General features: G+C 43.5%; 1 protein-coding gene and 1 non-coding gene across 8 annotated transcripts in view, besides 2 other annotated features; both read left to right on the top strand.

The window, feature by feature from the left end:
• PIGL (phosphatidylinositol glycan anchor biosynthesis class L) overlaps positions 1-21058 on the top strand; it is a 109202-nt gene that overhangs the window by 47374 nt on the left and 40770 nt on the right. Inside the window, exon 1 of one of the 7 annotated variants that reach the window (XM_047437099.1) lies at positions 19514-19555. The exons of the other annotated variants lie outside the window; for them this stretch is intronic. The gene's annotated coding sequence lies outside the window, so the exon portion shown is untranslated. Of the gene's footprint in view, positions 1-19513; positions 19556-21058 lie in introns of those variants that run through there. 7 annotated transcript variants of the gene reach the window in all.
• Positions 3460-3599: an enhancer, noted in NCBI's record as "active region_11749". NCBI's record gives its function as "activates an Ori minimal core promoter by ATAC-STARR-seq in GM12878 lymphoblastoid cells {active_cell/tissue: GM12878}" and the evidence as "EXISTENCE:reporter gene assay evidence [ECO:0000049][PMID:35858748]".
• Positions 3620-3669: an enhancer, noted in NCBI's record as "active region_11750". NCBI's record gives its function as "activates an Ori minimal core promoter by ATAC-STARR-seq in GM12878 lymphoblastoid cells {active_cell/tissue: GM12878}" and the evidence as "EXISTENCE:reporter gene assay evidence [ECO:0000049][PMID:35858748]".
• Positions 17431-17505, top strand: MIR1288 (microRNA 1288). The gene has a single exon (NR_031698.1). It is a non-coding gene; the product is annotated as a microRNA 1288 (primary transcript).

The following is a 21058-nucleotide window of genomic DNA, read 5'->3' on the forward strand; positions in this document are numbered from 1 at the left end:
TCCCAAACACATCGTCATTATTATTATTATTATTATTATTATTATTATTATTATTATTATTATTATTTTGAGACAGAGTCTCACTCTTGCCCAGGCTGGAGTGCAGTGGCGTGATCTCAGCTCACTGCAGGTTACTCACTGCAACCTCTGCCTCCCTGGTTCAAGTGATTCTCCTGCCTCAGCCTCCCAAGTAGCTGGGATTACAGGTGCCCACCACCACGTCTGGCTAATGGGGGTTTCACCGTGTTGGCCAGGCTGGTCTGGAACTCCTGACCTCAGGTGACCCGCCCTCCTCTGCCTCCCAAAGTGCTGGGATTACAGGCGTGAGCCACCGCGCCTGGCTACTTTCCATATTATTGAAATGTGATGTAGTCATTTTCACATGACAATGTGAATAAAGAGACAAACTTAGTTTTATAATGTTTCACATCAATTTATATAATGCTTATAGTCCTTCTAAGAGGGTAAAGGCCTTTGTGAGGAATCAGCCAACTGGCTGCAGAGTAGTGGTATTATTTTTTTCTGTATGAGAAGGGAAGTGACACTGTGTCATTGTGAGGTAACAGAAAGGGATTTGGAGAAGAACACCTAGGAATAAAGGGAATAGTGTTACCTTAAGACTAACACTTAGGGATATATGGTAAGGTAACTAACGGTGACCTTAAGGGTGCTGATTAGGTCACATTCATAAATGGGTGGGGAGTGATGCCAAAGGGCACATAGTGAGCAAGTTGTGGTCACGAGGTGATTAGGACAGATGATTTAGGGCTGGAGACTCCTGTGGGTGTTAACATGATGACTGCATAGGTGCTCAAGACTGCCCATGGTGGAGTATTAGTCCCCACAACCTAACTGGCATCAAGAATCAGGGAAACCAGACCAGGCGCGGTGGCTCATGCCTGTAATCCCAGCACTTTGGGAGGCTGAGGTGGGCAGATCATGAGGTGAGGAGTTCGAGACCAACCTGGCCAACATAGTGAAACCCCTCTCTACTAAAAATACAAAAATTAGCTGGGAATCGTGGCACGTGCCTGTAGTCCCAGCTACTTGGGAGGCTGAGGCAGGAGAATCGCTTGAACCCAGGAGGCAGAGGTTGCAATGAGCCAAGATCGCACCACTGCACTCGTAGCATGGGCAACAGAGCGAGACTCCGTATTAAAAAAAAAAAAATCAAGGAAACTTTCTTAGAAACAGCTGGGTCTTAATAGTCTCAACAAGTTAAGGAGAGTTTCTGGGCTTCAGACCCCGCATTTCCCCCCATGCCCTGAAGAGCATTATAGACCCTGTACTTTAAGAAGAGTAAAAGTCCTGAGTATCCTGTTAGGAATCATCCCATCCCTGGGCAGCTTCTCCTCAGTACTAACCATGAGGAAGGGGAACTGAGGGCCCTTTCACCCAGAGAGGACTCTTCATCCTGAAGAGAAGTGAGAGGACATGTCTGAAAAACACACCAAGATAAAGTATCTGGCTGTCATGACTCTTTCTAGAAAAATCTCAGTGCTGTTTTACATAACCTCATTCATCTCCAGAATTAGAATGAGTATCTTCTGGCCTGGTGTGGTGGCTCACACCTGTAATCCCGGCACTTTGGGAGGCTGAGGCAGGCGGATCACCTGAAGTCAGTGGTTCAAGAGCAGCCTGGCCAACATGGTGAAAACCCATCTCTACAAAAATACAAAAATTAGCCCTGCATGATGGGGGAGGCTAAGGCGGAAGAATCGCTTGAACCTGAGAGAGGGAGCTTGCAGTGAGCCGAGATCGCGCCATTGCACTCCAGACTGGGCAACAGAGCGAGACTCCATCTCAAAAAAAAAAAAAAAAAAAAGAATGAATATCTTCTATTACTTCATTTATTGTGCCAGGTACTCTTACTCTTGGGCAACTGAAATCATGGCTTCATATCTATGAATTGAGTGAGGTGGTACTCACATCACCAGCCTCTTATGTTGACCGAATCAAGACCTTTAACTGCCTAGTAGACTGACTTACAAGTGGAGCTGCTCAACAGATAATAGTTTCTTTTTTTTTCTAGACGGGAGTCTCGCTCTGTTGCCCAAGGTGGAGTGCAGTGGCGCTATCTCGGCTCACTGCAAGCTCCGCGTCCCAGGTTCATGCCATTCTCCTGCCTCAGCCTCCTGAGTAGCTGGGAATACAGGCGCCCGCCACCATGCCCAGCTAATTTTTTTTGTATTTTTAGTAGAGACGGGGTTTCACCGTGTTAGCCAGGATGGTCTCGATCTCCTGACCTCGTGATTTGCCTGCCTCAGCCTCCCAAAGTGCTGGGATTACAGGCGTGAGCCACCACGCCTTGCTCTTTTTTTTTGGGGGGGGGGGGGTTGTCGTGGAAATTAAGTTTATGAATCTCCTTGATCTCTGAATTATTCCAAACAGCACCATCCCAGCAATTCCTTTTAATTGTTTTTAGAACTACAGTTGACCTTTGAACAATGAGAGGGTTAGGGTGCCAACTCCCACCAATGCAGCTGAAAATCTACATAAAAGATTAGATTCCCCAAACCACTAGTAGCCTATTGACCAGAAGCCTTCTTGATAACCTAAACAATTAACACATATTTTGTATCTTTATCATATACTGTATTTTTACAATAAAGTAAGCTAGAGAAAAGAAATGTTATTAAGAAAATCATAAGGAAGAGTAAGTGTATTTACTATTCATGAAGTGGAAATGGATCATCATGAAGGTCTTCATCCCTGTCTTCACATTGAGTAGGCTATCTTGCTGTCTCAGGGGTGGCAGAGGCGGAAGAGGTGGAGGAAGTGGATGGGGAGGCGGAAGAGGTGGAGGAAGTGGATGGGAAGGCGGGAGAGGCAGGCACACTTGGTGTAACTTTTGTTGAAAAAATATCTTTGTATAAGTGGACCCACGCAGTTCAAACGTGTTGTTCAAGGGTCAACTGTGGTCATATTGTCGGGGTTCTTTAGCCATTAGGTCTCAGAAATTAGCCTGAATTTAGCCAGACATAGTAGCACACGCCTATAGTTCCAGCTGCTTGAGAGGCTGAGGCGGGAAGATCACTTGAACCCAGACTGCAGTGGGCTATGATGGTGTCACTGCACTCCAGCCTGGGTAACACAGTGAGACTCCATATCAAAAAAAAGAAAAAAAGAAAAAAAAAAGAAAAGGAAAGAAATTAACCCGAATTTGTGGTTTCTAACTTGGCAATTAGTCTTTCTTTGACCCCAAGTTTAGACTCAATATCTTCACTAAGAGCCAGCCCAGGGGGTGCAACTTGGAGCACCAGAATGTTTGTGTAATACTAGCCATGGTAAAGAAGGTGTCCCAGGCTCTCCTGGTGGAGGCAGGCTCTGCTCTACTTAACTCTACTCCAGGCAAGAGCAGACAAAGAGCAGACTCTTTAGACTGGTAAGCAGAACAGACTCGTCCCTCAAGGAGCTCCCAGACCAGGGAGGGGAGGAGACTGTAAATATTCACCATGCCGTGGTAACAGCAGAGATGGAGCACAAGGGGAAGTTCAGAGAAAGATCTCAGAAGAGAGGTACTTTGTCTAACCTGAGATTTAGGGAAAGTTCTCCTGAAGATGATGACTGGTCTACATGACCTGAGCCGAGATGGGAATGAGTTGAAAGGTAGGCTTGTGAAGAAGCAGGAGAAGAGCATTATAGATAGAAAACTCAAAGGCATCAGAGGCCCCAAGCTGCATGCTATGATATTGGGATAATAGTAGTACAAACATAGTGCAAGACAGTGGTGTAAAGTGAGATATTTGCTTCTGAGCCATTTCCCTTCTGTTGCCACTTCCTCTTCCTCTTTTAAGTGAAACATTACTAGCAGCCTAATAATTATCATAGCTGACATATATTAGGTGTTTTTTGTTTTGTTTTGTTTGTTTTGTTTTTCTTGAGATGAAGTCTCGCTCTTGTTGCCCAGACTGGACTGCAATGGTGCCATCTTGGTTCACTGCAACCTCTGCCCCCTGGGTTCAAGCGATTCTCCTACCTTAGCCTCCTGAGTAGCTGGGATTACAGGCGCCTGCCACCATGCCTGACTAGTTTTTTGTATTTTTAGTAGAGATGGGGTTTCACCATGTTGGCCAGGCTGGTCTCGAACTCCTGACCTCAAGTGATCCACCCACCTCAGCCTCCCAAAGTGCTGAAATTACAGGCATGAGCCACTGCGCCTGGCGTTTTTTTGTTGTTCTTGTTATTTGTTTTTTTAGATGGGAGTCTTGTTCTGTCGCCCAGGCTGGAGTGCAGTGGCGCAATTTCGGCTCACTGTAGCCTCTGCCTCCAGGATTCAAGCAATTCTCCTGCCTCAGCCTCCTGAGTAGCTGGGACTACAGGCGCGTGCCACCACGCCTGGCTATTTTTTTGTATTTTTAGTAGAGACAGGGTTTTACCATGTTGGCCAAGATGGTCTTGATCTCCTGACCTAATGATCTGCCCGCCTCAGCCTCCCAAAGTGCTGGGATTACATGCGTAAGCAACCATGCCCAGCCAGGTTTTTACTCTGTCCAACTCTATTCTACATCCCTTAAATTTATTAACTTGTTAAATTCTCTAGGAGTAAATGCTGTCATTACTCCCATTTTACAGATGAGGAAACTGAGTCGGGGGAGATTAAGTAACTTCTCAAAGGTACACATAGGGCCATGTGGTCTGTCATCTCTGCTTTAGCTGACACATATGGCCTCTATAGCCTAGGCTTTACATGGCCAGTCTCCATCCAGACTGACTAGAGTGGTGTTTTGTAAAATATAGAGGTTGATCTGCAGCCTAGGTGCAATAGAATTACCTGGGGCAGGCCAGGCACTGTGGCTCATGCCTGCAATCCCAGCACTTTGGGAGGCTGAGGCAGGTGGATCATCTGCAGTCAGGAGTTCGAGACCAGCCTGGCCAACATGGTGAAACCCCGTCTCTACTAAAAATACAAAAAAAATTAGCTGGGTGTGTTGGCATGTGCCGGTAATCCCAGCTACTCGGGAGGCTGAGGTAGGAGAATTGCTTAAATCCAGGAGGCTAGGGTTGCAGTGAGCCTAGATCACCCACTGCACTCCAGCCTGGTAACACAGCGAGACTCCGTCTCAAAAAAAAAAAAAAAAAATTAGAATTACCTGGGGCATTTGATAAAACACAGATACCTAGGCTCCACTGTACTCTGCATGAATCTAATGGGGTGGGTGATTAAGAACCTGAATTTTTTTTTTTGAACTCCCCAGATGATCCTAAGGCACAGTAATGTTTGGGAACCTCTGGGCTGGAGTCTCTGGGTTGAAATCCAAGTTTTGTTCTGTTTTTTTTAAGAATGAGTCATTGCATCTTTCAAGTATTCAACCAAGATTGTCTTCATAATCTTACACTTCATTCATCTGTCTTTACAAAGTTACAGAGCTGAAGCCATATCCTGTTTCTTCAGCACTCATCTATACTTTAAAAATTCTAGGCCAGGCATGGTGGGTCACGCCTGTAATCTCAGCACTTTGGGAGGCCGAGGCGGGCAGATCACCTGAGGTCAGGAGTTCGAGACCAGCCTGCCCAACATCTGCGAAATGCTGTCTCTACTAAAAATACAAAAAATTAGCTGGGCATGGTGGTGGGCACCTGTAATCCCAGCTACTCAGGAGGCTGAGGCAGGAGAATTGCTTGAACCCAGGAGGCGGAGGTTGCAGTGAGCCGAGCTTGCACCACTGCACTCCAGCCTGGGTGACAAGAGCGAAACTCCATGTCAAAAAAAAAAAAAATTCTAATCAGATGCCAGTCTCACTGTCATTCTCCAATCTTCCCACTATAACATATTTAGTTCATTGTCCTGCCCGTGTTCTAATTTTGCAGTTTTCCTAGACTGATCCTCTGTGATCCAACAATTAATTATAAATTATTAATTATAAATTAATTAATTATAAATTAATAAAAATTGTGATCCCACAATTAATTTCAAATTTATTAAATAGAACCTGAGAAAAAATTATGCAGTATTTTTTTCATTAGATGATTGTCAGCCTCCTACCAACAAGCATATGCTAGATGTTACCCATGAAAACTTAAGTAGTCAGGCCAGGCACAGTGGCTCACGCCTGTAATCCCAGCACTTTAGGAGATTGAGGTAGGCGGATCACCTGAGGCTAGGAGTTTGAGACCAGCCTGGCCGACATGGTGAAACCCCATCTCTACTAAAAATACAAAAATTAGCCGGGTGTGGTGGCGGGCACCTGTAATCCCAGCTACTCGGGAGGCTGAGGAGAATCACTTGAACCCGGGAGGCAGAGGTTGCAGTGAGCCGAGATCGCGCAACTGCATTCCAGCCTGTGCGACAGAGCGAGACTGTCTCAAAAAAAAAAAAAGAGAAAAGGAAAAGTAGTCATGATCCCTCCCTTGGACTCATTTCCAGTGTAAAGGTTATTAACCTTTTTGTAATTGGGATGTATTATGAATGACTGCTCAATTCAACAATGTACCTTTTTCCTCAGTAATTCCTAAAGAAGTCATAGAATGTATGTATTTCTTTATTGAATAAAGTCTATTAAAATTATTGTGATTCTAAGGCATCTTAGGGAATTTCATTATGTCTCCTAAAGCTAGACTCAAAAATAGAATTAGGAATTATTCTTCTTTAGCAACCTTCATTATGTCTCTTAAAGCTAGACTCAAAAATATAATTAGGAATTATTCTTCTGTAGCAACCTCAAGCAGTCCAGGATCAGTCCTCAGCTCCACCTTTTGTGACAGTGGGCAGGCACATTCATGCTCTGACCCTCAGGCTTCTCTTCATCAAATAGGAGCCTTGTGTTAGATTATCTCTGAGGTTTTTTCACAACTAGCATTTTGTGGTTCAATAAACAGAATAATTGTCCTGCAAATAGGTACGTACCCTAAATAGGGTTACAGATAAAATACAAAGTGCCTAACTAAATTTTAGTTTCAGATAAACAATAATTTTTTAATGTTAAGTGTGTCCCAAATTTCACATAGAACACTTTTTTTTTTTTTGAGATGGAGTTTTGCTCTGTCGCCCATGCTGGAGTGCAGTGGTGCAATCTTGGCTTACCGCAACCTCCACCTCCTGGGTTCAAGCAATTCTTCTGCCTCAGCCTCCTGAGTAGCTGGGACTACAGGCGCACACCACCACACCCAGCTAATTTTTGTATTTTTAGTAGAGATGGGGTTTCACCATATTGGCCAGGCTGGTCTCAAACTCCTGACCTCATGGTCTGCCCGCCTCAGCCTCCCAAAGTGCTGGGATTACAGGCGTGAACCACTGTGCCCGGCCAGAACATAATTATACTAAAAAATTATTCACTTGTTTATCTGAAATTCAAATTTTATTTTATTTTATTTTCATTATTTTTTGAGACATAGTTTCCTCTGTCTCCCAGGCTGGTTTCAAACTCCTGGCCTCAAGCAATCTTCCCACCTTGGCCCCCGCAAAGCACTGTGATTATAAGTATGAGCCTCCATCCATGCCCAGCTTAAAATCAAATTTTAACTGGCATCTGCTATTGGCAACCCTAACCCCAAAGCCATTGCTTTTTATCCCATTTTGTGAAAGTCAGTGTCACTATTTCCCTACTGTGAGCTTGCTTATTTCTGCCTTTTATCCTTAGCCTGAAACAAGTTGTGAATATCAAATTTCCACTCACTCCATTGCTTTACCTATGAAATAAATTCCCAGAACTTAGAATAGTTAACAGCAATCTGTTTCCTAGAACTAGCTGCCAGGACTACACCTGGACATCTGTTATTTACAGCCTCATTATTGACATTTTGTCAATAGTTCTGACCTATGCCATGTAATCTGTTATAGTCATAGCATGCCTTCCTGGAAATTTTCATTTGCCTCTATTCCTATTGTATTATTTGGGTTCTTTCCATATTTGTTTGTTCAAGATTCTCTCATCATTAAAAACAAATAAACAAAAACCTCTACTTAACCCTCCTCATCCCATTACTGCTCTACTTCTCTTCCTTCATAACCAAGTATTATCTACATGCATTGTCTTCACATCCTGTTATTAATTCCCCAATGCATTAAATTCTGGCTCATCGTCCTACTACTTCTCGCTGCCATTGAAGCTCCTCTTTCCAGAGTCACTGGTTACTTCCTATTTGTGAAATCAGTAGGAAGCTTTTCAGTCCCAGTCCTACTGGACCTCTCAGCAGCTCTGGCCAATGCTGACCACTCCCCCAATCCAGAAACCACTCTTGGCTTCTGTAACAGTCCCTGGCTCCAGCTGTCCTCCTACCTCCTTACTTCCCTGGCCACTTGGGTCGGTCACCTTCAGCCATTCTTGTCATCTGCCTGGTCCTCTATGATTCTCAGTGTTCGATGCACACTCTGTAGTTGTGATTGAGGTATTTACAAAAAACTGGTGCCCCACTGAGCCAGGTTCACGTGGAAGTTGGGATGAAACAGGATTCTGAGAGGACATGGGAGGAACATGGGTTTCACTTTGTTTCTTTATTAATCTTTGAAATGTGTTTGTTTATTCATTTAGCACTCATTTTTTGAGCATATACTATATCTCAAATATCAGGTCCTAGGAGTACAAAATGGCAAGTCAAGTCCTTGCCCTCAAGGAGCTTGCAGTCTAGGAAAAGCCAACAAACCAACTAATGATGTGAGGACAGCACACAAAGGTACCATGGACTCAGATGCAGGAGCCAGGAAAGACACTAGAGACAGGTTGCCTGTGATCTGAGCTTTAAGAGACAAGTAGGAATTAGCCAGGTGCATTCCATATGAGTTCTTCCAGATAGCTGGAGTCCACATGCCTGAGGGAATATGACAGAAGATCAAGTGAGGGAGCCAGGCAAATGCCAGATCACAAAGACCATGTGTCAGGTGAAGGTTATGGAATTGAAATGTCTTAAAACTATAAGGAGCTTTGAAGTACGTCAAAATGGGCAATAAATTGATCTGATTTTCATTTTAGAAAGACTTCTTTTGACAACACTGTGGAAAGCAGCTTGGGAAGGGGGCTCCAGACTTGGTGCAGTGGAACCAATAGGTATGGTCACGTGAGAAATCAGAGTCAGAAAAAAAAGCAGTGGCAGGGGAAATTGAGAGGAGATAGTTTCTAGTGCTGCTACAGAGGTAGCTATTCTAAGGCTTGATGACCAATTGGTTGTCAAAGATAAGAGGGAGGAAAAAAAACAAAGGGTCTCCCAGATGTGTGCATTTAGTGACTGCATAATGCATCACCTCCACTAAATGATTCATCTGTTCTTCATCCCTGTTAGTCTGGACACCAAAAATATCACTCTGCCTAAAGGGGGGAAACATTTCTTTGAGGGAAAACCCTTTTGCCCTATAGCTAAACTAAGCCATTGGAAACTTTTTAGGGCAGAAATGTCAGAGGCATGAACAGGGCTTCTGGAGGAGGGTGAGGTCTCCAGGTTCTCCTGGCTAGTGAAGAGGCTCATGTTCTCATTAGCAAACTGATGGCCTCCATCGATGGCCGTGATACTCACAGGGCGTGGTTCAAAGCCCCAGATCATCAGGGCTTCTAGAGTCTACTTAATCAGGACAGGCATTTATTTAAAGTGCTCTGAAGCTAACTGTCACAAATAGGGAACCTTAGTACTGGTCAGTTGGGAACCAAGGTTATTACCAAGAAGATAGTGTCAGGTGTCAAGTGTGGAAGTCAGGACAAGGCCAGATGTAGGAGATAAGAGTGAAACCAGACGTGAGAAGGTTGGAGCGTGTAAAGGAAATGGGTCACAGGACAAGCAGTTCAGACCTGAGGCCAAGAAGAGGAAGGCAAGAGTTCTCTTGCGGATCTCAGCTAGAAAACATTGCTGTAGAACATAGGTCACTTTGTTTGTTTGTTTATTTATTTATTTATTTTAAGCAAAAGCAAGTTTATTAAGGAAGTAAAGGAGGCCGGGTGCGGTGACTCACACCTGTAATCCCAGCACTTTGGGAGGCCGAGGCGGGTGGATCACCTGAGGTCAGGAGTTCGAGATCAGCCTGGCCAACATGGTGAAACCTCGTCTCTACTAAAAATACTAAAATTAGCCGGGCGTGGTGGCAGCCACCTGTAATCTCAGCTACTTGGGAGGCTGAGGCAGGAGAATCGCTTGAACCCGGGAGGCAGAGGTTGCATTGAGCTGAGATAGCCCCATGGCACTCTAGCCTGGGGGACAAGAGCAAGACTACGTCTCAAAAAAAAAAAGAAAGTAAAGGGATAGGCCGGGCACTATGGCTCACTCCTGTAATATCAGCGTTTTAGGAGGCCGAGGGGGGCGGATCACCTAAGGTCAGGAGTTTGAGACCAGCCTGGCCAACATGGCAAAACCCCGTCTCTACTAAATATACAAAAATTAGCCGAGTGTGGTGGCTTGCGCCTGTAATCCTAGCTACTCAGGAGGCTGGGGCAGGAGAATGGCTGGAACCCGGGAGGCAGAGGCTGCAGTGAGCTGAGATCACACCACTGCACCCCAGCCTGGGCAACAGAGCAAGACTCCGTCTCAAAAAAAAAAAAAGAAAAGAAAGAAAGTAAAGGAATAAAGAATGGCTGTTCCACCGGCCAGCAAAGTGGGATGCTCCACTAAGGACACTTACAGTCATTTTCTGATTATACTCTAAACAAGGGCTGGCTTATTGAGTTTTCTGGGAAAGAGGTGGGCAATTCCCAGAACTGAGGGTTCCTCCCATTTTAGACCATAGAGCGTAACTTCCTGACGTTGCTATGGCATTTGTAAACTGTCAGTGGCACTGGTGGGAGTGTCTTTTAGCATGCTGATGCATTATAATTAGCGTATAATGAGCAATGAGAACCACCAGAGGTCACTTTCATTGCCATCTTGGTTTTGGTGGGATTTTGGTGGGATTTTTATTGCAGGTTGTTTTATCAGTAAGGTCTTTATGACGTGTATTTTGTGCTGACCTCCTATCTCATCCTATAAGTAAGAATGCTAACCTCCTGGGAATGCAACCCAGTAGGTCTCTGCCTTATTTTAGCCAGCCCCTATTCAAGATGGAATTGCTGTGGTTCAAATGCCTCTGACATATTTCACCCCTTCCTTTTATAAGAGAACCCTTAATCCTAAGGGCTGTAGAGGGATGAAGATCCATCTTCTGTGACTTCTTCAGGCTGAATAGGGGCAATGATATTACTGCCTATTAGGGTCTCTTGTATTTGGGGTAGAGAGGAGCTCTGTCAGAAAGTGTCAGTATGGAGGCTGGGTGCAGTGGCTTACACCTATAATCCCAGTGCTTTGGGAGGCCAAGGCAGGCAGATCACTTGACATCAGGAGCTCAAGACCAGCCTGGGCAACATGGTGAAACCCTGTCTCTACTACAAATATAAAAATTAGCCAGGTGTGGTGGTGGGTGCCTGTAATCACAGCTACTCAAGAGGCTGCGGCAGGAGAATCATTTGAACCCAGGAGGTGGAGTTTGCAGTGAGCCGAGATCAGGCCACTGCACTCCAGTCTGGGTGACAGAGTGAGACTCTGTCTCAAAAAAAGAGAAAGAAAGCGTCATTATGGTGAGGGCCATTTATAACTCTGACAAAAGGTGATATCTGAAAGATTAATAAGTGTTCAATTTAAGAAAACATTCAGTAAGCTTATCCTGCATTCCTACACAAAGAGTACAACAGCAACACATTCCACAATGGTAAAGCAAAATAAGTAAAATTATTCAAAGTAAACTAAATAAGAAGTCTTTCCATGAACTGGGCAATTGTTGAAACCAAGTTGATATGGGGTCACTAGCTTATTCCAATATGTGCCCAGAATTAGAATATTGATCCAGATTTTTACATTATCTATCCCTCTTGTTTCTTCTAAGTAGCAGCCAGAGATCACTGGTTGGTTCTCAGGAATAAGCAGTCAGTTTAAATTGCAGAAAAAAAACTTAAAAACTACTGATAAGACTAGACTCTGGCCGGGTGTGGTGGCTCACACCTATAATCCCAGCACTTTGGGAGGCCAAGGCGGGTGGATCACCTGAGGTCAAGAGTTTGAGACCAGCCTAGCCAACATGGCGAAACTCTGTCTCTATGAAAAGTACAAAAATTAACTGGGCAGGCGTGGTGGCGGGCACCTGTAATCCCAGATACTCAGGAGGCTGAGGCAGGAGAATCACTTGAACCTGGGAGGTGGAGGTTGCAGTAAGGCACAATTGTGCCACTGCACTCCAGCCTGGGTGACAAGAGTGAGACTCCATCTCAAAAAATAAAATAAAATAAAATGACTAGACTCTGATAACATGCGTACCATAGTTTTTGAAACATAACGTTTTTCTCTCCAGTCTCCCATTTTTACTAAAGACAAATCATGGTAACTGATTTGCTTTGTTATACTTGGCCTCATTATTTGTATAAAGTGCAGCAACAATAATTATTTTTCACATAGGCTTTTAAAATCAGCTTTGATGGAATTTTGTTCCTTAGAAGGAATCTCAGATAAGACTTTTTTAAAGCTGAGCCCAGCCATGGGTCTGTACCCTCAAATATCTATATGAGTTGGGTAAATTTCTCTCTTCTTGAGATCCCAAGATAACTTGGGGCTCCTGGACTTGTCATAAAGTGACATTCTTTACTTACCACAGGTCAAGAACCCTGTACAGGGACTACGTAGACAATGTATGAGGCCAGTTTTCCTAAGGGGCTTTTATTGGCACTGTAAGTCAAGTTTGATTCCTTAAAGGAAAGAGTGTCATTCCAGTCAAAGCCTTGGTGAAAAAAAAGTTTCTCCAATTGTGTTCTGATACAAAAGAAAACATTCTTATTGCATTTATGCAAATAATTATATTGCCATAAGTTAAAAATGCTCACAAATGGTTTCTGAATTTTGGAGAAATTGGGCAGAGAGAAACAAATATGCTTCAAATTTTGTTCACAGGAGTATACTTTACTCAATTGTTAAAAGCTGTTAATAGCTCAAAAGAAAAATTTCCTTGGCTCTGAAAAACAAAAGAAAGGATCAGCAACGTTTTAAGCCAAAAGTTAAAAAAAGATTGCTTCAGTCTTCTGTTAGGTCAATCCATGCAGTTAACTCCTGTTTTGCTTGATATTCATGAACATTTCAGCTCTTCATGAGTCCTGAAAGTTTTTTCCTCTATTTTAATGTCACAATTTACAAAGTTATTAGAAACCTACATTCAATAACACCTGTTAGAGTTCTATAATTGATTATAAAACCACCTTCTAAAGAGGACAAAGACAAGACAACAATTGTCCGTGGGTGACAAAACACCTTAGGATAGCCTCTATTAAAGCCACAGTTGACTAAGAATTTTGGTTACTTCTGTGGCATACAACAATTTTTACATAACAATTATAATGATTAACAACATACACTAAGTCATATCAGAATTGTAGGAGTTTCCTGTGATTTTGGAACATATACCAATAACATATTTATACAAATACAGCCCAAAGAAAGCCAAGCGCCATTTCATATTTGACAGTGCTTCCTGTATGATTTTTATACCAAACAAGCCAAACTTCACCATTGAATTAGTGCATTATTGATGTCAAACTCAATTCTTTTTTTTTTTTTTTGAGACAGAATCTCACTCTTTTGCTCAGGCTGGAATGCAGTGACGTGATCCCAGCTCACCGCAACCTCTGCCTCCCAGGTTCAAGCAATTCTTCTGCCTCAGTCTACCGAGTAACTGGGATTACAAGTGTGAGCCACCACGCCTGGCTAATTTTTGTATTTTTAGTAGAAACAGGGTTTCGCCATGTTGGCCAGGCACAGGGACCTCAACAGCACATGCCAGTGAGGATGGGTCTCAAACTCCTGAACTCAGGTGATCCACCTGCCTTGGCCTCCCAAAGTGCTGGGATTACAAGCATGAGCCACTGTGCCCAGGATCAAACCCGATTCTTAATAAAACTTTATAGATAAATCTATCCAATTTTAATGTCTGACCATAAGGTAAGGTTCTTATAAACCTCTTAAAACCCTTTACAATTTTTGTTAAAGAGCAGATTAGTGTTCTAAGAAAACTCTGTTGTGCTTTTATTCCAGTCTTCAATTTATGGATAAACTGAATAATACCCCTTTAATTTTAGCTAATATGTTCACACACAGAATTTCTTTTACAAGATTAATTTTTCACAAACCTTCCACAACTTGTTCAAACTTCAACTTTTTCCTATCTAACCTAAAACAATCCTTTAACCCTTAAATCTAGGCAAAAAAAAAAAATCCACATTCACATGCCTTTTTATAATCTTTTACCAAAAACACATTTCACTTTCCTTGCATGTAAAACTGATTTACTTAAGTCTCATGAACTAAAAGGCATTTATACTTTTTACTTTTCTGACAATATTTGATTTAAGCACCTATTATTTTTAAACCAGTTAATCAAAATGCTTTCATATCACACACACAACCCATATAAATACACAGACAGGCAGAATAATATTCAGTAGTTGTTAAGATTTTTCATTTGCCAGTTTCTTAAATGGATTATGGGTTTCAGGGTAGAGCGCTTGGAGGAACAGGCCCAGGAAAGCACACAGTTTCTAGGGCATCATAAGCAGGTACAGCCAAAGTTGGCCAATTGGTGCTGCAGTCTATTTCCTTTGGGCCAGAGTTTCCTCAGTATTGTCCCTTCAGGGTTCACCTGGAAGATGTTACCGGGAAGGAGTCCCAATCCAGACCCCAAGAGGGAGTTCTTGGATCTTGCCCAAGAAAGAATTCAAGGCAAATCCAAAGAGTAAAGTGAAAGCAAGTTTATTAAGTAAAGGAAACAAAAGAATGGCAACTCCATAGGCAGAGCAGCCGGTCACTTTAAATTCATTTCTACAACCTAATTTTTGACATATTTTAGATGCCAGTTCATTTACTGTAAGGCATAAGATTAGACTTGTTGGCATCAAAGGACTGTGACTTCTAAATGAATGCATATAATAAAGAGATATTTTGCCTGCAAGGCCAATGAGACCCACTTAGGATGGTCTTAGGCTCAGCATTATCCTTGAACAGATTTATGCATATTTCTAACTTTTAAATTTTCATTTACATTTGTTTATTTTATTATACTTCCCAAGAGAAGATTTTCTATAGAAGTTTTATTAAATTCTTCCTATTGTACCTAAACTCTGTCCCCATTGTCCTTCTCTTGCTCCAGATTGTCATATCTCAGACTGATGTGTCTATCAGAGGCACAGGGACCTCAACAGCACACGCCAGTGAGTCAGTCATCAGATTATAGTAGCCTGGGAATGGGGTGAATACAGGCTTGAAGTGGACTAGTATCTATTTCCAAGGAGGCCCAATCTATTGGGTAAGCCATTGCAGCAAGTGTTTCTAGCTAACAAGATGGTCAGAGTCAGGCAGGGGGGCCTTGCTGTGATTCTGGGTTGACCTTGTTTGGAGCTAGATGACTATAGCCAGCATCTAGGAGAGAAAACTGGTTCAAGTCACTAGGCTTGGAAATGTCATCTTGCCAGACCCTCTTATGGTCTTGACTAACTGGGCTGGGTTTATTACCAGTAGAGGAACAGACAACTACATCAGGGCAGAAGCCCAGGCACATGGACATGGAAAAACATATGCATCACTGAGGAAGAGCCTAGAGCTTGATGTACACACAGATGCTTGAGGTTCACCCTGGTCCATTGGATACTGGGTCTAAAATATGTTTTCACATTGGTAATTCTAGGCCTTATCTGCTCCTGGGGGCAGAGGTCCCACCAAATGGTGCCTGCATGGGTCCATACTGACTGTACTTGAGAGAGGCTAAGGGTCCTATAAGACTGGAGAAAGAGGGTTGATGGAAATAGATTAGCCTTGATTGCCTGGAGAATGCCAGCTGGTTTTCAGCCCCCAATACTTTGGAGCAGAATTAGTTAACTTTGAGTGATGGGTGGATCTTTCTTTTCTTCTAATTTAACTTGCTGTTCATGTTTAGCTTACATACAGTATTGGGTCATTTTTTGCATAACTTTTTTTTATTTCTAACAGACTTTATTTTTTAGAGCAGTTTTAAGTTCACAGCAAAATTGAGCAGAAGTTATAGCCCTTGCCCCACGCATGCACAGCCTCTCTGGTTATCAGCATCCCCAACCCAAATGGTACATTTGTTACACTTGATTAGCCCACATTGATTGACACATAGTTATCACCTGGAATCCATAATTTACATTAGGCATTAGGGTTCACTCAGTGTTTTTTTTGTTTTGTTTTGTTTTGTTTGAGATAGAGTCTCGCTCTGTCACCCAGGCTGGAGTGCAGTGGCACGATCTTGGCTCACTGCAACCTCTATCTCCCGGGTTCAACCAATTCTCTGCCTCAGCCTCCTGAGTAGCTGGGATTACAGATGCCTGCCACTACGCCTGGCTAATTTTTGTAGTTTTAGTAGAGATGGGGTTTCACTATCTTGGCCAGGCTGGTCTTGAACTCCTGACCTTGTGATCCACCCACCTTGGCCTCCCAAGGTGCTGGGATTACAGGCATGAGCCACCATGCCTGGCTCACTAGGTGTTTTTAAAAGGAAAAAAAATCTCACTTACTTTGAGAAGACTCTTGTGCTTTCACATGTATAAATATAAGCACTAAAATCACATGAACATACATTCATTTGAAGTTTTCAAGGAAATAATCATGAAATGTTTCAGATTATTATTTAAGTAAAAAATTTTTCTAGGAATGCATGGACCCCTGAGAATTTAGCCACAGACTCTCAGGGATTTGTGGACCTCAATTGGAAAACATTGCTGTAGAACAGTAGTTCATTTTGAACTCATTTTTGCAAGCTAAATTTTGACATGTTTTAGATGCTAATTCTAGGAATGTTCTCCCTTTTCTAAGAAAAGTCCAAGCATTTTTTACCTGCTCTAAAAGAATATCAACGGCTTTTATGTTTCAGAGACTGGATGCAAGAGATTGTTTAACAAATCCCATCCCATCCCTGAGAATGTGTCTAGGCATTTGCTCTTTGCAAAGCCAGATGCAACATTCATAATAACTAAGGCTATCTTCTGGCCAGCACTGCAAGTGTATCTTTTGTCTACATTCTTAAGTAACCACATCAAATAGCATCAACCCACTTGGAAATAATTTTGAAGTGATTTGGATCTCTCTTGTATATTTTCCCTATAAATCCCTAGCCTGGTAGGCGTGTATATTTTCTGCTGCAATATTTAATGCTTAGTTCCTTGCCTACATCTAAGAAATATTAATTTTAGAAGGAATTGGATACTGATATTGGCAAATTTTTATGAGACTGGCTAAAGGAGAAAGAAGAAGGGGACCTGTGATAGAATCTTCCATGACAAGGAGGAAATACTGGCCTCAGTCTCCTGCAGAAGCAGGAGCTCTGGTACACAGGTGGGGTGCCCACTGGTACAGCTCCCATCTGACATGAAGCAGGCAAGCCAAAGGGGAGCAAGAGCAATGCAACCTGTAAGACCCATCCTCAGACATTCTGCTATTGCCCCCAGACAATGGAAGGGGGGCGACAGCTGTCCATGGGGGCACTGCTAAGAGGGTGTTGATCAGCAGATCAGGACTGTAACTCACCATAGTGGTGGACTGCCCTGATCTGGAGACCACTGCCTTTCGAGAATAATTCACCCTACAGAAGCTATCTGAGCATCACCAGACAGGGTCTTCCTGGGAATTAGCACATATCCCAAATTTCCTTCAGCTTTGCCTGCCCACAGTCCCCTGAAAGCCCTCCCTTTTTCTGGGTGTGAGAGGAATGGCTGGGCATCCCTTGGCTTATCCTCCTTCTTGCCCACCATAGCCAGCATCTCAGAGTGAACATGCACGAGGGAGGTAGAAAGACTCCATATCCTTGTTCTTTACAACTTAGAAAAGCCTAAGTTATAGGAGAGAGATAGCACAATGGAATGCTGAATTAGAGGTAAATAATTGGTCTGTTTTTTTTTCACCAGTCTAGTTACTACTATTATGTAAAATATCTAATTTTACATACCCTAAACACCCATACCCAAACACCTTGACAAAGGAATCATTTTACCTCCCAAACATAGTCAGTGTTGATTTCACAAAATATCCCTAGAATTACTCTTTCTGAGGCTAACAGGACTACTTAGATGGTTCCTAAAGTCCCTTCTAACTCCTGCATTCTCTGGTTAATGAATCAGCATTAGTCATGTGGAAGGAAGGTATCCTCCTCAAACTCTTTTTAAGAATGATCTCAAGGAATCCAGAGTGCTCATTAAGTTGGTGAAAGAGTCAGTGCAGAATGCAGCTCATACATATATCCTGATGTGATGTTGGCACCTCTCAAGAAGCTGGGAAAGATGTCCAGGCTGGTCATAGGACTCAGCCCCTATTATGGGTCCAGCAGCCAGTAATAGTAAGCAATGTCTACTTCAAAAGATATCTCTGGCCAGGTGCAGTGGCTCAATCCCAGCACTTTGGGAAGCTGAAGCGGGAGCATCACTTGAGCCCAGGAGTACAAGACCAGCCTGGGCAACATGGCGAGACCCCATGTCTACCAAAAAAGAATTTTTTTTTTTTTTTAGACAGATTCTCACTCTGTTGCCCAGGTTGGAGTGCAATGGCATGATCTTGGCTCACTGCAACTTCTGCCTCCTGGGTTTAAGCGATTCTCCTGCCTCAGCCTCCCGAGTAGCTGGGATTACAGTCACACATCACCATGCCCAGCTAATTTTTGTATTTTTAGTAGAGGTGGGATTTCACCATGTTGGCCAGGATGGTGTCTAACTTCTGACCTCAGGTGATCTGCCAGTCTCAGCCTCCCAAAGTGCTGGGATTACAGGCGTGAGCCACTGTGCCTGGCCAAAACAATTGTTTTAATTAGCTGGCCGTGGTTGTGCATGCCTGTAGTCCCAGCTACTCAAGAGGCTGAGGAAGGAGGATTGCCTGATCCTAGGAGGTTGAGGCTGCAGTGAGCTGTGTTTGCACCACTGCACTCCAGCCTGGATGACAGAGCAAGACCCTATTTCAAAAAAAAAAAGATATTTCTGAGGAGCCATGCTCATTCAAGACTCACTGCTCTTAGAAGAGGTGTTAATCTGGCCAGGTGCCGTGGCTCACACCTGTAATCTGAGCACTTTGGGAGGGTGAGGTGGGAGGATCATCTGAGACCTGGAGTTCAAGGTCAGCCTAAGCAACAGACTGAGACCCTGTCTCTTAAAAAAAATAAGAGAGAGATGTTAATCTATATTAAACAATTGAATAGTGTGAAGATTTTGTAAAACTTTTTAAATCACCGATTATACAAAAGCTCTTATTGAATTATTAAGGAGTTAGCAATTACTATTAATGCTGTTGAATATGAGTAAGAACCCACTTAACTTCAATCAGAATCCATCGATCAAGCTTAAAGCCTTATCTCATAGTTCCCTTCCTGGTCTGTCAGCATTGCCTCATAGAGAGGGAAATACATCCCGCATCTGCCTCATCATGAACTTGGGTGGCCACCAGGATATTGCTCATGAAAGCTGCTTTTCTTTCTTTTTTTTTGTTTTGAGACGGAGTTTCACTCTTGTTGCCCAGGTTGGAGTGCAACGGTGCGATCTCGGCTCACTGCAACCTCCGCTTCCCAGGTTCAAGCGATTCTCCTGCCTCAGCCTCCTGAGTAGCCGGGATTACAGGCGCCCGCCACCACACCCAGGTAATTTTTTGCATTTTTAGTAGAGACGTAGTCTCACCATGTTGGCCAGGCTGGTCTTGAACTCCTGACCTCAGGTGATCTACCCGCCTTGGCCTCCCAAAGTGCTGGGATTACAGGCATCAGCCACTGCGCCTAGCCCGAAAGTTGCTTTTATAAACAGGTTCAAGGCCGGGAAATCCATTCTCCTCCACCTCCCAAAGTGCTGGGATTACAGATGTGAGCCACCGCACCCAGCCAGTTCATAGTTTAAAACAAAGATGATAGCAGCCCCTTCTCAAAACAAATCTCCTTCTTGCCTGGGGACTAGACTGCCTTTGTAGGACTAACGAATTAGGCACAAAATTAAACATTATATTTTAGGAGTCATGCAGCTGGGGGCTACAAGATTCTGACCCTCCCTAAACTGCTCCTAAGATCAGTGCTTGAGATATTTTGCAGGCCTGCACTTGATGGATCAGCTGACACCACCCAGATCAATTAACTGGCTCATCTGATCTTGTGGCCCCCACCCAGGAACTGACTTAGCACACGAGGACAGCTTCAATTCCCTATGATTTCATCTCCTACTTAACCAATCAGCACTCCTCACTAACTGGCTTCCCCCAACCTACCAAGTTGTCCTTAAAAACTCTGATTCCAGAATGCTACGGGAGACTGATTTGAGTAATAATAATACTCCGGTCTCCATTACAGCTGGCTCTGCATGAATTAATTACAGCCGGCTCTGCATGAATTAATTACTCTTTCTCTATTGCAATTCCCGTGTATTGATAAATCGACTCTGTCTAGGCAGCAGGCAAGGTGAACCCACTGGGTGGTTACAACATTAGATAGCAAATTGGCAATTAAAGAATATATCTGTAGAGACAGGATCTTACTAATGTTGCCCAGCTGGTCTTAAACTCCTGGCCTCAAGCAGCCCTCCCACCACCTCAGCCTCCCAAAAGGCTGAGATTACAGGGGTGAGACACCACACCTGGCCAAATTGGCAATTTTTGAAGAAAGATTTCTCACAAGGACTTTGCAAGCTTTATGTACTTTATTTGTTGCAATAATATGAAATGCATCTTTCTGGGAAGGAGAACACAGGTAACTGATTTCAGTGTAATACCTAGCACTCATGCCTTGCTAATCCTTTTTATATCCTATGAGAAAGGAAAAATCCAGGCCGGGCGCGGTGGCTCAAGCCTGTAATCCCAGCACTTTGGGAGGCCAAGGCAGGTGGATCACGAGGTCAGGAGTTCAAGACCAGCCTGGCCAAGATGGTGAAACCCCATTTCTACTAAAACTACAAAAATTAGCCAGGCGCGGTGGCAGGTGCCTGTAATCCCAGCTACTGGGGATGCTGAAGCAGGAGAATCACCTGAACCCGGGCGGCAGAGGTTGCGCCACTGCTCTCCAGCCTGGGCGACAGAGTGAGGCTCTGTCTCCAAAAAAAAAAAAATCCATTTTATGGTTAGATTTGGGGGCTTCAAGCCGTATGTGGAAAAGGCTCTCTTAGGG

Source organism: Homo sapiens, chromosome 17 (genome assembly GCF_000001405.40).
Source record: "Homo sapiens chromosome 17, GRCh38.p14 Primary Assembly".
Taxonomy (NCBI): Eukaryota; Metazoa; Chordata; class Mammalia; order Primates; family Hominidae; genus Homo; species Homo sapiens.